The 13,694-nt window shown below is 55.8% G+C and overlaps 1 protein-coding gene across 14 annotated transcripts in view; it reads left to right on the top strand.

Annotated features, from left to right (window-relative positions):
• COL11A2 (collagen type XI alpha 2 chain) overlaps positions 1-13,694 on the top strand; it is a 30,826-nt gene that overhangs the window by 7,700 nt on the left and 9,432 nt on the right. For 4 of the 14 annotated variants that reach the window (XM_047418183.1, XM_017010250.2, NM_080680.3 and 1 more), the window contains 35 exons: positions 42-119; positions 766-828; positions 1,496-1,675; positions 4,650-4,709; positions 4,815-4,856; positions 5,090-5,152; positions 5,488-5,562; positions 6,015-6,101; positions 6,333-6,389; positions 6,536-6,589; positions 6,694-6,747; positions 6,847-6,900; positions 7,088-7,141; positions 7,332-7,385; positions 7,468-7,512; positions 7,635-7,688; positions 8,114-8,158; positions 8,355-8,408; positions 8,595-8,639; positions 8,775-8,828; positions 9,055-9,099; positions 9,334-9,387; positions 9,517-9,561; positions 9,751-9,804; positions 10,139-10,246; positions 11,240-11,293; positions 11,602-11,655; positions 11,765-11,809; positions 11,894-11,947; positions 12,075-12,119; positions 12,265-12,318; positions 12,419-12,472; positions 12,707-12,760; positions 13,183-13,290; positions 13,442-13,531. In XM_047418183.1, the coding sequence (XP_047274139.1) occupies positions 90-119; positions 766-828; positions 1,496-1,675; positions 4,650-4,709; positions 4,815-4,856; positions 5,090-5,152; positions 5,488-5,562; positions 6,015-6,101; positions 6,333-6,389; positions 6,536-6,589; positions 6,694-6,747; positions 6,847-6,900; positions 7,088-7,141; positions 7,332-7,385; positions 7,468-7,512; positions 7,635-7,688; positions 8,114-8,158; positions 8,355-8,408; positions 8,595-8,639; positions 8,775-8,828; positions 9,055-9,099; positions 9,334-9,387; positions 9,517-9,561; positions 9,751-9,804; positions 10,139-10,246; positions 11,240-11,293; positions 11,602-11,655; positions 11,765-11,809; positions 11,894-11,947; positions 12,075-12,119; positions 12,265-12,318; positions 12,419-12,472; positions 12,707-12,760; positions 13,183-13,290; positions 13,442-13,531 (2,142 nt within the window). In that variant the 5' untranslated portion in view covers positions 42-89. Of the gene's footprint in view, positions 1-41; positions 537-765; positions 829-1,495; positions 1,676-1,706; positions 2,187-2,227; positions 2,889-4,649; positions 4,710-4,814; positions 4,857-5,089; positions 5,153-5,487; positions 5,563-6,014; positions 6,102-6,332; positions 6,390-6,535; positions 6,590-6,693; positions 6,748-6,846; positions 6,901-7,087; positions 7,142-7,331; positions 7,386-7,467; positions 7,513-7,634; positions 7,689-8,113; positions 8,159-8,227; positions 8,409-8,594; positions 8,640-8,774; positions 8,829-9,054; positions 9,100-9,333; positions 9,388-9,516; positions 9,562-9,750; positions 9,805-10,138; positions 10,247-11,239; positions 11,294-11,601; positions 11,656-11,764; positions 11,810-11,893; positions 11,948-12,074; positions 12,120-12,264; positions 12,319-12,418; positions 12,473-12,706; positions 12,761-13,182; positions 13,291-13,441; positions 13,532-13,694 lie in introns of those variants that run through there. The other 10 variants (NM_001424111.1, NM_001424108.1, NM_001424110.1 and 7 more) reach the window with 8 other exon arrangements.

The following is a 13,694-nucleotide window of genomic DNA, read 5'->3' as shown; positions in this document are numbered from 1 at the left end:
ACCCCATCCCCTTCCTGTCTATGCCCACCCCCCAATCCCAGCCCACTGAGTCTCTCTACTATGACTACGAGCCCCCCTATTATGATGTGATGACTACGGGGACAACCCCTGATTATCAGGTAAACTCAAGGGACCCCTTCATTTCTTCCCTTTCTCCCAGCACCCCCAGCAATCATCTCCTAGGACACCTTCCTCCCCTCCCCCATGCCGTGGGGAGAGGCACAGTGTGTTTAGATTATGGGGATTTACTTAGTTCCTGCCCCCTCCCTGTCTCTCTGCTGCAGCGCCCTGGGAGCCCCCACCACAGGCCTCCCCCTTCCCCTAGGGGGCATCGGACCCCTCCCTGAAAGCCTACCCCACCTGCCAAGAGGTCAATGACCTGGCAGGCGTCCCCCTCACCAGGCCGGAGGCCCTCTCCAACTGCAGGCTTTGACCCAGCATGGGAGCAGCCTCCCCTTTCCCGATGCCCAGCTCGGAGGGCAGCTTCCCCCACTGCCTGGCCCCGCCCCAGGACCAGAGGCAGCAGTTACCGGCAGGTAGAGCCGGGGCATCCAGATCTCTGCCCCCAAACCTCTATGACCTTGGAGGTTCACTCTCCCCAAACTATCCCCCTCCAAAGGGGCTGCAAGATCTGAGATTTCCCCCATCCCCCAGCACAGACAGACCCTGCCCTCGGGGGACAGGTGCTGCTTTGCCTCCCTTCTGCTAACCTTTCTCCTTCCTTCCCACCCCGTGCTACTCTTCTCCTTCTCTCCTTGGGGTCAGGACCCCACCCCAGGTGAAGAGGAAGAAATCCTGGAGTCGAGCCTCTTGCCACCCCTTGAGGAGGTAACTCTATGCCCCACCCTCACCCCATCTGGGGGCAGTGGGCACCTGTGACTCACTCCCCTCAGCCCATGACGTCTTGATGGACCAGCCCCTCCTCTGGCCGGAGGGTTCTTCCTCATTTCCATCGATGGCCTCTGTCTTTGGGTCACTCTAGAACTATGGGCCTGCTTGACTCTCTAAGTCCAGCCCGTTCCCTTCAGTATCCAGGCCTCCTTCCATGATTCTTTGATTCCTGAGTGACTTCGTCTCCATGTTGGTGTCTAATGGTCTTACTTTCTATGTCCTATTTCTGTTCCCGGGAGCCACTTTCTGTCCAGTGTTGTCACCTTTTGTCTTCCCTATCTCTTTGGTCATTCCTGGACTCCTTTGTCTGTCATTGTGTCCATGGACTGTCCACTCTGCATCCAGTCCTCTGGCCACCCTTCATTTTATCCACCACTTCTTCCCACTGGACCCACTTTCTGGACATCTCTCCCCATTTTTGGCCTTTGATGGCCCTTCCATTTATATACAACCACTCCCATGGCTATTCTTGGGAGAAAAAATCCAGTTCTGATTAACCTTGGAATCCTTTGGGCTAGAAGTTGTCACACCCTGGGGTCCAGGGTAAGCCTCCTCTCAGCCCTAACATCCCCATCTACCCCTCTCCCTCCCCATCCCTGGGAAGGAGCAGACAGATCTCCAGGTCCCCCCCACAGCCGACAGGTTCCAGGCAGAGGAATATGGGGAGGGTGGCACAGACCCCCCTGAAGGGCCCTACGATTACACCTATGGCTATGGGGATGATTATCGTGAGGAGACAGAGCTTGGCCCTGCCCTCTCTGCGGAGACAGCCCACTCAGGAGCCGTAAGTGAAAGGAGCTTCTCTTTCATTCTTGACTACCAGTGGGAGCTACAAGAATTGCTTCTTGTTGGTTTCGATCCTTGGCTGTTGGCTGTGAGCTATTTCCCATCTGTGACTTGTCATTTTCTGTTCACATATGATGTATATGTTGCTTGAAAAGATTACTACCTGCCTTCCTTTGCCAAATGTCTTACCTTGTGACTCTTGTGGATACTTCTGAAGCTCAGGGCAATTGGGAATTAAAAAAAAAAAATATGTAGCCACTTCCTGTCTTTCTTGATCACTTCCTGTCTAACTGAAGCTGGATTTCATAAAGCTTTTGGTCAATAAACTACTACCTTGTGTCCATTTTCAGTGTTTCTCTATCATTTCTTCTTGGTGAAATAATTTTTTGTTCATGTTTCTACCAAACGATCTAACTTCCTATGTCACCTTTTTTTAACCTACAGGCCACTTATTATCTGTCCCTTCCTGCCTTCTCCAGCTGTGGCATCCATCTTGGTAACTGTGTCAGGTTGGACTGCAAAGGATTTATTATTTCTGTTCTGGCTCTAGTTTTTCATGCTATCTTGTGACAATTTCCTTTGACAATAAGCCACTTCCTGTATGTCTCAGGTCATTTAAATCATAAAGTTTCCATTGTGGGCCTCGATATTTCTCATGGCTACTTCCTGTGTGTCCTAGCCTTGATGTTTGTGTTTTCTGGAAGAATTACCCTTCACTGTCATGATTCCCTTTGCAGGAGTCACATTCTACCTGTTTTGTGCCTTTCTTTTCTCTCTGGGTCACGGTAGCCATGTTGTTGTTGAAGGTTCACTTCCTGGATCCTCTTTCCTTCACTGCTTCCTGTCTGTTCAGCCACTTCCTGTTTGTCCAGTTTGTTTTCTAGCCATGTTGGCCATGTTTAATTTTCTTCGGCCCTGGCATCATTCTTGCTTCCAAGTGTTTGTCATTTTGTTCTGTGTCCCTTAGTTGTTCTCATATCTTCCAGTATTCCCTGTCAGTGGGACTGCTTCCTGTCTACTCCGCTCCGTCTTCTGCCTGCCTTGCAGTTCTGGCTGCCTCCTCTACCCTGCTGCCGCATCCCATACCTCCCCTCTCTTGCCTCCCTTGAGCTTCTACTGCCTTTCCTTTATGCTGCTCTCTGGGTATTTGGGGTTGATATGGGATTTCAGAGAATTTTGAAACGGATCATTGCTGTTTGGTCAGAATGAAGGTGGAGAGGGGCATTCTGAAGATCTTTGTTGGGGGGAGTTGGGGTGGTGGTGAATGTCTCCCATTCTCCATGTTCTTATTTTGTTTCTGGCCCTAGAGTTGGGAACAGGTATCTGAGTGGAGGTGTGCAAGGGAGGGAACTGGTGGGCTTGGAATGTACTTGAGGGCCAGAGGAAGGGCAATGCATTCAGTGGGGACTGCTCTCCAATTTTTTTTTTTTTTGAGGCAGGGTCTCACTCTGTCACCCAGGTTGGAGTGCAGTGGCAGGATCTTGGCTTACTGCAACCTCTGCCTCCTGGGTTCAAGCGATCCTCCTGCCTCAGCCTCCCGAGTAGCTGGGGTTACAGGCATGTGCCACTGCGCCCGGCTATTTTTTGTATTTTTAGTAGAGACGGGGTTTCACATGTTGGCCAGGCTGGTCTCAAACTACTGACCTCAAATAAGCTGCCTGTTTCGGCCCCACAAAGTGCTGGGATTACAGGCGTGCGCCACCGTGCCTGGCCTCCAAATTTACTTAGAGTATGGATGCTTAACCTTTGGGGCATATTTAAACTTGTGAACCCTTTGAAATCCTAAATAAAATTCTGTGCATAATAGCATATACTTTTTCATTTCTGGAGAAAGACTCACAGCTTTCATCAGATTCTTTTTTTTCTTTGAGATGGAGTTTTGCTCTTGTTGCCTAGGCTGGAGTACGATGGCATAATCTTGGTTCACTTCAACCTCCACCTCCTGGGTTCAAGCTATTCTCCTGCTTCAGCCTCCCAAGTAGCTGGGATTACAGGCATGTGCCACCACACCCAGCTAATTTTGTATTTTTATTAGAGACGGGGTTGCACCATGTTGGTCAGGCTGGTCTCAAACTCCTGACCTCAGGTGATCTGCCTGCCTCCGCCTCCCAAAGTGCTGGGATTATGGGCGTAAGCCACCTCGCCCGGCCTAGCTTTTATCAGGTTCTCATGTGGGTCCATGCCCTCCTCTTACCCCAAATAAAAATCTACCCACAATCTTAGAGAGATTCTTTTATGATGTATTGGGGTAAATGTGTGGAAGGTTTCTTAAGGTTCTAGGGAGGGAGTTTGGGAGATGGGATAGGGTCCTCTAGAAGAGGGTTTGGGAAGGTGGGTGGTTTAAAATCCCTGAAAGGGGCCAGGTGTGGTGGCTCACGCCTGTAATTCCAGCACTTTAGGAGGCCAAGGCAGGCGGATCACCTGAGGTCAGGACTTTGAGACCAGCCTGGCCAACACGGTGAAACCCCATCTCTAATAAAAATACAAAAATTAGCCGGGCATGGTGGTGCACATCTGTAATCCCAGTGTAATCCCAGCTACTTGGGAGGCTGAGGCAGGAGAATCACTTGAACCTGGAAGGCAGAGGTTGTAGTGAGCCGAGATCGCGCCACTATACTTCAGCCTGGGTGACAGAGCAAGACTTCGTCTCAAAAAAAAAGAAAAACAAACAAACAAACAAAAACACTGGAAGTTTCTGGGGACCTTCCTGAAAGAGGCTCTCAGGGAGATGGAGAGGTTGTGTTTGCTGAGGTGGGGCTGGGAACTGGGGGGGCAGGGAACCCTGAGGTCTCCTTGGCAGGCTTGAAAGGTTTGTGAAGAGGGAGTTTTAGGGGAGGGCTGTGGGGCTTTCGGGTAGGGCTGAAGTGGTCTCGAGAGGATCTAAGAATCAAGGTTGGAGTTGAGATGGAGAAAGGCCTAGTGTCCTGGCTGCTCACGGGCCCCACTGGGGGCTACATGTGTGTCTCCTTCAGGCTGCCCATGGACCCCGAGGGCTGAAGGGAGAGAAAGGAGAGCCTGCAGTGTTGGAACCTGTAAGTTATGCTGGTCACAGGGCTGAGGCAGTGGAAATAGGAGAAGCAAGTGGGGTTGAGTGTGCTGGTCCTGTCGCCTCTGATTTTTAACCTTTGACTCCACAGGGTATGCTCGTGGAGGGGCCCCCTGGCCCAGAAGGCCCTGCGGTAAGTCTAGCAGTGACCTGGTGGCCATTCTTTTCTTAGAAACCCCTTCTATGTGCTCATCTGAGCCTTCCCCACATATGCCCAGGCCTCCTCCTCAGAACTCGGGAGCATCCCTCCAATCAACGCTTCCCAGATTCCCAGATCTGTTCTGCACAGACCACTCCTCAGCCACAGGCTGAGTGTCCACACCTGTCTGAATGCCCACACCTGACCCCTACTCTTTTGTTCCTCAGGGATTGATTGGTCCCCCTGGCATCCAGGGGAACCCAGGCCCAGTTGGAGACCCTGGAGAGAGGGTAAGGGGGTGTCCTCCATGTGACGGGGGAGCTTCGGGGGAGCTAGTGGTATCCAAGCGGGGGGCTACCATGCCCAGTAATTTCCTGTTAGGTGGCTTGTTAATGAATGAGGGGATGGTTGTGCTTCCCAGCAACCAGAAAGGAGGGCAGACTCTGGTTGGGGAGGGTGCTGATCTGGTTTCTCACCCTCAATTTTCCCCATGGGGGTGGGAGACTCAGGAAAGAGCTAGAGCAATCTACACTTATTCTGTTGAAGAGGATATTTCAAAATCATGCTAAGATCTTGATGTCCCCTTATCTTTCACCCCATCTTTTGCATTCTCTTCCCACTCCAGGGCCCCCCTGGCCGAGCAGGGCTCCCTGGATCAGATGGGGCTCCTGGTCCTCCTGGCACATCTCTCATGCTCCCAGTGAGTTGTCTCTTGGGTTTTGGAACATGCTGATGGGGAAGACAAGGAATTGTGTCATGTTACCAAGAACCAGATGGGCAGGAAAGATATGGAGGAGTCTCTAAAGATCATCAAAGATCATCACTCCAAAGGGATTCGTCTTTGGGGTTGGGGAGATGGGGCCTCATTAGGTGACCTAGAACAAAACACCAGTCTTCTAGGACTGGGCAGAACAGCCTATATTTCAGGAGCTCTAGAACCAAAAGAGAGTCTTTCTGGAGGCAGAGGCTGGACAGTGGAGGAGGGCAGGAGTTGAGTTTCTGGAATCCTCTAAGTGATTATCTGGAAGCCATGGGAAATGCTGGATGGGCAGAACCTGGGGCAAGGGGCAGAAACGCTGGAGAAAGCCTCTGGCTGGGAGGGTCCCATGGCTTTCTTGGAAGAGAACCTGGACCTTCTCTCCTTGACCTCAGTTCCGGTTTGGCAGTGGTGGGGGTGACAAGGGCCCTGTGGTGGCGGCCCAGGAGGCTCAGGCCCAGGCGATCCTGCAGCAGGCGAGGGTGAGTGGGGCTGCTTCCCTGGAAAGGGAAGGCTCTGGGGGGCACTGGAAGGGTTGGCTGGAGTGAGTGTGCGGCAGGGGAGGCCTGGGTTGGTTTGGGGTTAACAGGGAGGTTGGGGAGAATCCTGGGCAGTGGATGAGGATCAGGAGAGGAAGGGTGAATTTGGAGAGTGCTGGGGCTGGGGGTTCCCACTGCCTGTCCCTCAGCTCTGCTGTCCCCCTGCTCCCCTAGCTGGCGCTCCGTGGACCCCCTGGCCCCATGGGATACACAGGGCGCCCTGGACCCTTGGTGAGTGAGCAGGGTGCTCGGGTGGAGGATGCTTTAATTGTGTGTGGGGTGTGGATAGTTCTGGAAAGGGGCTTCTTTTGGGGAACACTCCGAGGCCACTGTTGGCTGTGTCCTTCCTTACGGCCATCCTCTCTTCTCTCTCCCAGGGCCAACCTGGGAGCCCTGGCCTGAAAGGAGAGTCTGGAGACTTAGGACCTCAGGTGACCACTTTCCTCCACTGCACCCCCATATCTGTTCACCAGCTCAGTCTCCCTCACTCCCCTCCCTATGCCTCCTAACCCCACCCCATCTCTCCTCTCACCAGGGCCCCAGAGGACCTCAGGGCCTCACAGGCCCTCCTGGCAAGGCTGGGCGAAGGGTGAGTGCCCCAGGGGTGGATGGGTGTTGTGGGGAGACAGGGCCTGCAGGGTAGGGGACTGCGGCCCTGCTTGTTCTGACACTTCCCTTGTTCTCCCAGGGCCGGGCAGGTGCTGATGGAGCCCGAGGGATGCCTGGAGATCCTGGAGTGAAGGTAACAGGCTTGGGCCCCTCCCTGAAGCCTGTAGCCTTCAGCCCACGCTGGGCTCAGTTGTTTCTTGGGGATGACCTAGTTCTCCAGGCTTCCCCAGGATCAGCACCCCCCCAGCTCAGGGTGCAGTAGGGAGGGGTGGGCTTGGACAGGGTCGTGTCCTCACTCTGGCTATCCTTCCTCCTCCTAGGGTGACCGAGGTTTTGATGGACTCCCAGGGCTCCCTGGAGAGAAGGGCCATAGGGTGAGTACATTAGTGGGTGTGTGTTGTAATTGGGGATAGATCTTCTATGGGAGTGAGGATAGGTAGGGAAGGGAGGCTGGAGGCTTGGCAGGAGCTCAGTGAAAGTAATGGATGGGCTAAGTGCAGAGGTTCGGTGTCTGCCTGTGTTGGGGGCTCTGAAGCCCCTCTTATGAGTTCCCCCATTTTGCAGGGTGATACTGGTGCCCAGGGCCTTCCTGGTCCCCCTGGTGAGGATGGAGAGAGGGTAAGTGTAGTGGCAAATGTAGGGGCTGGGTGCAGGGGAGGTCTAGAAGGCACAGCAGCTTTACCGTGTCCTCCTCCTCCAGGGAGATGACGGGGAGATTGGGCCTCGAGGGCTGCCTGGAGAGTCGGTGAGTGTCCAAGGGCTGGTGCTGGGGGAGGGGGCTCTGGGGAAGCCAGGAGGGGGACATGAGCACTAAAGGGACACAGTTTTATCCATTCATGCCGTCTCCTCCCCTCACCGTGAATGCAGGGACCTCGAGGTCTCCTTGGCCCCAAAGGCCCACCTGGTATTCCTGGACCCCCTGTAAGTGACTCCCTGACTTCTGACCCTGAGGTGACCCCTTGACCTCTCCAACTCTCCACCTTTCTAGCTGCCTTCCTGCTCCCTCTCCTCTCTCGGCATGCTTCCCATTCCCTGTGAGCTCCCCCTGCTCTGGCCCCACACTGCCCTGCCTCAGCATTCGCTCCCCGTGCACAGGGAGGGCCATGTGGCGTGGTGCCCTGAGGGCTCTGGGCATAGGAAATAAATCTTCAAGAAAAACAAAACCAAAGCCCACAAGCCCACAGATCCACAGTCCCACACACTGCAGGCCTGGGCCAGCTGTGTTTGCTTGGGTTTGGGATGGATTGGAGGTCTGACCGTCACACCCTCGGGAATGGCCGGGCCTCTGAAAACCACAGGTCCCTCCGGGCCACCTTCAGGCTGCTCACACCCATCTTGTGTTTCAGGGCGTCCGAGGCATGGATGGTCCCCAGGGCCCCAAAGGGAGCTTGGTGAGTGATGGATAGGAGATCCCACCCCCATTCTTATCCCCCGAGGTCCCTGCCAGCATCCTGTTGGCCGCCATTTTGACCCCTGCCTGCTTCCTGCTCTTGCCTTCTTGGCTATCGCTGCTGGGACTCAGCTCCATGCTCTAAATGTGTTCTATCTCCATCTCCTTCTGACCTGTGCCTGGTCACCTGTTTCTAGGGACCCCAGGGAGAGCCAGGACCTCCTGGACAACAGGGCACCCCTGGGACCCAGGTGAGCGGTGCCCCTACTCCGTTCCCCAATTTTCATGACTTCCCTTGGGCTTCCACAATGGGTGAGACCCTGGAAGGATACAGGAAATTAAGGGTTTCAGGCCCTTGTTGCTCATGCTTTGAATCCGGGAGGCTGGATAGAAGAGACCCTGGGAGGCCCCTGTGACTTCTCTTTCCCTGTATGTAGGGTCTTCCCGGGCCCCAGGGTGCCATCGGCCCTCATGGAGAGAAGGTAAGTGACTAAGTGATTTGGAGGACAGGGGGTTTAGAGTGGGGATGTAGGGAGAACCCTAAATGTCTGCTGGGATTTTGTCTGTGTCCAGACATGACCCCTCTAGTGACCCTGAGCCTCTTTGTCTTCCTGCAGGGTCCTCAAGGGAAGCCAGGGCTCCCCGGCATGCCTGGCTCAGACGGACCCCCGGTGAGTGGGACCCCACTTCCGAATCCAGTTCCCCTTGGCCTTCCACCCCAGTGCATGACCTCAGAGCTCCTTTAGTGACCCTTGCACTGAAAGGTCACTGGTGGTGCTTGTCCATGGACAGTTGGCTTCACTAGGTCACAGGAAATTTGGGTTGGAAGAAGTGTAGGGAGGGGTGCAGAGAGGGTGACAGGGGCCACTGGTCACATTTTCTATCCCTTACTCCCAGGGTCACCCAGGGAAGGAAGGTCCCCCTGGAACCAAAGGAAACCAGGTGAGATCTTCCATGTCTTTATCCCCTGAGGGAGTCTCCACTCAGACTCTAGAGCCTCAAAGTCCTTGGGATTCCCTTGTCTCATTATTCATATGGCTCTGCCACATTCTCAATTCCTGTGCCCCGTAACCCTACCCAGACAGCAATGTTGTTACTTCCATTTCTTCCACCCCTGGAGGCCCCCACAGTGACACTCTGAGGCCCCTTTATAAATGCCTCTCTTTTATCTTCCAGGGTCCCTCTGGACCTCAGGGACCTCTAGGATACCCAGGACCTCGAGGGGTCAAGGTAACTGACCACCAGGCTGGGAGACAAAGGGCTGTGGTCAGGGGAGCTATATGGGGTCTTAGGAGCTTGGTCCTTCCAACCCACCTCCATCCCCTGATCAGTCTACTTCTATCCCCTCTCTAATTCTAGGGTGTGGACGGAATTCGGGGTCTGAAGGGTCATAAGGGTGAGAAGGTGAGCACCATGCCCCCAGCTTCCCAGCACCTCAGTCCTGCCATCTCCTCTCTTCACTGCCTTCCCTCCAGCCTGCCCCGCACTGCCGTCCAGCTCCCGAGCCCCTGCTTCCACCTATGTTCTCAGAATTCCCATTAGAACCCCAGCCCTCTGTCATCTGTGGTGCCCTCTCACCTCTATCTTTCTCAGGGTGAGGATGGCTTTCCTGGGTTCAAAGGTGACATAGGCGTGAAAGGTGACAGGGTGAGTAGAGACCCCACACTGGCCCCAATTCCGTGTTCTACTGAGCCTCCACTCTGGAGACGCCAAGCACCGGTTTATTCTCCTGAGTCTCCAGACTCCACAGTTCCAGTGCTGTGTTCCCTTGGGAGCCTGACCCCTACAGGATGATAGCCCCATGGTCTGTGTCATGCCTGCCCTCCCATCACTACACTATCCCTACCCTGTGGGCTTCCTGTCCTGCAGTGGCTCCTGGGACCCCTCTAGCCCTCCTCAGCCTCACTGTTGCCCATTTCTCCTCTGGGCCCAGAGCCCACCTCCAGTCCCCAGCACTCACCTGTCCTTCCCTCTCACACAGGGCGAAGTTGGAGTCCCTGGTTCCAGGGGAGAGGATGGTCCTGAGGGGCCAAAGGGACGCACTGGACCGACTGGAGACCCTGGGCCCCCAGGGCTCATGGGCGAGAAGGTGATGGGATGAGGGTTCTGTGCCTGGGTCCTCTGGGGGTGTGGGCACTGGGGTCAGGATGGGCATGGGTGCCCGCCGCTGAAGTCAGCCAGTCAGTTGAAGATGGCCATGCATTAGTCATACTTCTGTCTGTGTAAATGGCATCTCTCAGCTGCTGATGGGCAGAGGGGATATATAAGAAGTCAGGGAAAAGTCCCTGACACGAAGAGTTGGACGGAGACGAAGCTTAGAGAGTAGCTGTTGCTTCAAGGCAGAGTGAACATGCGTTCGGACTCCAAGCAGCAGGAGTTCTGAGATGAGAGAGTCTAATAGCAGTGAGGTCTGTGGTCTCCAGAGCTGACTCTCCCCAGCACTTGCCCTGTGCCAGGTGCTGTGCTGATGCGTCCTATCTATCCTATGAGGTAGGCATGTGACGTACTGTTTTGCTGAGGTTTTACAGAGGCACAGGGATGCTTGTTGATTACATGGCCAGTGAAGGGCAGAGCCAGGGGTTATGCCCAGGCAGTCTGGCTTCAGAATCTCTGCTTCTAAGCCCTGCTCTGCAGCTGCCTGGGCAGGATGAGCCCTGGAGCCTCTGGGGAAGGGGGCATGCACGGGAGTCGGGGTGTGGTGGGCAAAGGGCCTGCAGGGGGATTGGTCTTGGTGAAGCAGGAGTGGGTGCTGGGGTAGATCCCACCTCCCTCATGGGGTAGATGGAGCTGAGGTTGACATGTGGGAAGCAGCTAGATCACAGTGACCCTGAAGGACCTGATACCTCTGTAGGCGCAGGGGAGGTGGGATCCCAGCACTAGAATTGGGGAAAATCCACTCACGGGAAGGAGAGACAACAAAAGTCAGGCAGCTGTGGGGCAAGCAATGAGGGGCTAGAGGCTGGGGTGTGTGGGGTGTGTTGCTGGGTGGGGGCTGGCTGTTATATGTGAGGGTTGAGGTCTCCAGGGGTGGAGTGGCATCTGGGCCTCCTCTCACTCCTAACTGCTTCCTGTCCCTCCACAGGGCAAGCTGGGTGTTCCTGGTCTGCCTGGCTATCCTGGACGTCAGGGACCCAAGGTGATGCCATGCCCCATACGTGCCCCTCCTCCTCTTCCCTCCTCCTCTTCGCTTCCCTGATCCCTGATTCCAGAAAGCACAGATGCAGGGCAGTGGGGGACCCCAGAGGGAATTTAGCTGACCCCCATTTTACAGATGACCGAAAGAGGCCCAGAGAGCAGCAGGGGTTTGTCCAAGGCCACTTAGTTCTTGGCAGAGCTCGGGTCTCCCTGGCCACTGCCTTTGTGGCCTCTCCTGACCCCCTTTGCCCCTTCCTGAACCCTACCTTTCATAACTTCTCAATTTCCCCCCTTCTCCGTTCTCACCAGGGGTCCCTAGGATTTCCTGGCTTTCCTGGTGCCAGTGGAGAGAAGGGAGCCCGGGTAAGCTGGGGGGTGGGAGGGCGTGAGAAGGGAAGGGCTGGAGAGGTGTAGAGGGGGTCTGTGGGGAGTCTCACCCTGGGTAATGTTCTCTCTGCTTCATTCCCACCAGGGCCTGTCGGGGAAGTCAGGGCCTCGGGGAGAACGGGGCCCCACGGTGAGTGCAGGGGAGAGAAACAGGTGGCTCAAGGTCCAGAGGGGGGCATTTGGGTTTCTCTGACAACTCCTCTTCCCTCTGTAGGGTCCACGGGGTCAGCGGGGACCCCGAGGTGCCACTGGGAAGTCTGGAGCTAAGGTGAATGGTCTCTACAAGGCTCCAACTGCCCCCTGCCCACTCAGCCCCAGCTCTCCCTCAACATCCTGACCTCGGGGACAGCTGGAAAGCAGCTCTTCCCACTCCTTGACTCTGTTTCCCCCCACAGGGAACATCTGGTGGTGATGGCCCCCATGGGCCCCCTGGAGAGAGGGTGAGTGTGGATCGAAAGTCCCCTTCCCCTGAGGTCCCCAGGGAGCCTGGGTGAGCCAGCTCCCTCCTCACCCCAGGAAGGAAGCTGAGTTCCCCCACTCAGCCCCTGCCCCCATTCTCCTGACTCCCCCCACCTCTGTCTCTAGGGCCTCCCTGGACCTCAGGGTCCCAACGGGTTTCCTGGACCGAAAGGACCCCCGGTAAGTTGACCCCGAGCTCTGACCCACCTCGCTTCTCTGAGTCCTTCTTCCCTACCTGCTTTCCAGCTGAGAGTTCACCTGACAACTGAACCCCTTCCAGGGCCCCCCTGGGAAGGATGGGCTGCCGGGACACCCAGGCCAAAGAGGAGAAGTGGTGAGTGATGCTCCTGGCTACCCATTCTCAGGGGGCTCCATCAGACCCTTTAACCCCAGAGCTGTCTGGAAAGCCCACAGGGACGTTCTCCTGGCAGAGTGGAGCCTGCCCTGGTGCTGCTCAGACCCAGGGCCCAGGGCTTGGTGTGATCCTGCCTGGGATCCTTCCTCCTGGGAATCTGCCCCACAGCGCCCACACCTGCTTTCACTGCATTCTCCTCTCTTCCTCGCCTAGGGTTTCCAAGGGAAGACCGGCCCCCCTGGTCCTCCAGGAGTGGTGGGACCTCAGGTAGGTTTGTCCCTAGGAGAGAATGGACCCCTGACCCTAGCATTAGTCTGTCTGCCCCTCTTCTCTCGGTCACACGCCCCTGCCCCGGTCCACCTGACCCAGACTCCTGGGGCTGGGGTCAATGGTGGGGGCTGGGATTTCAGGCAGGGGTCCTGAACTTCAGTCTGTTTTGGGGCGCATTCTCATCGTCTTGTCCCCCAGGAGAGGCAGTTCCCCAACAGAGACACAAGGTGGTGTAGTTACTCCACATGGGGCAGGAGAAAACCCAGCAGTGGCCCAGGAATGCCGGGGAATTTCCCAGGAGCTTTGGGGCAGGGATAAAGGGGTTCTGAAGGAGTGTTTTAGGGTGGCCAGGGTGGGCTCTTCTGGCAGACAGCGAGATGAAGGGCCTGAGAGCAGGAACTCTCTCTGCTTTTGTCTAGGGAGCAGCAGGAGAAACCGGCCCTATGGGGGAGAGAGGTCACCCAGGCCCCCCGGGGCCCCCTGGAGAGCAGGGACTACCTGGGACAGCTGGAAAAGAAGGAACAAAGGTCAGTGAGGGGCCAGGCAGAGGGGAAGTGGGGGAGCTGGGGATTGGGGTGCTGAAAGGAACAGGTAGTTGGAGATTTGAGGGGGGGCTGGAGAGCTCTCTGTTTAATTTGGGAGCATGGCTGTGGCTCATCACCTCTCCTTTCCTTTTAGGGTGACCCTGGTCCCCCTGGGGCCCCAGGGAAGGATGGTCCTGCTGGTCTGAGGGGATTCCCAGGAGAGAGAGGCCTCCCAGGCACTGCTGTGAGTGTGACTCCCAGACCCCTGCCTGTCACAAGCACCAAGCATCCTGAGTCCCCACCCCGACCCTGTCCCTGACCCCCTCCATGTCACTCCCCACTTCCATCTTTTGGAGCCTGTCTTCCCTCTCCAGCTCTCACCCTTCTCTTTTCGTGAAGTCTCATCT

Source organism: Homo sapiens, chromosome 6, assembly GCF_000001405.40.
Source record: "Homo sapiens chromosome 6, GRCh38.p14 Primary Assembly".
In the NCBI taxonomy this organism is placed as follows: Eukaryota; Metazoa; Chordata; class Mammalia; order Primates; family Hominidae; genus Homo; species Homo sapiens.
Note: the sequence above shows the minus strand (reverse complement) of the source record. Positions and strands in the feature narration are given on the sequence as shown.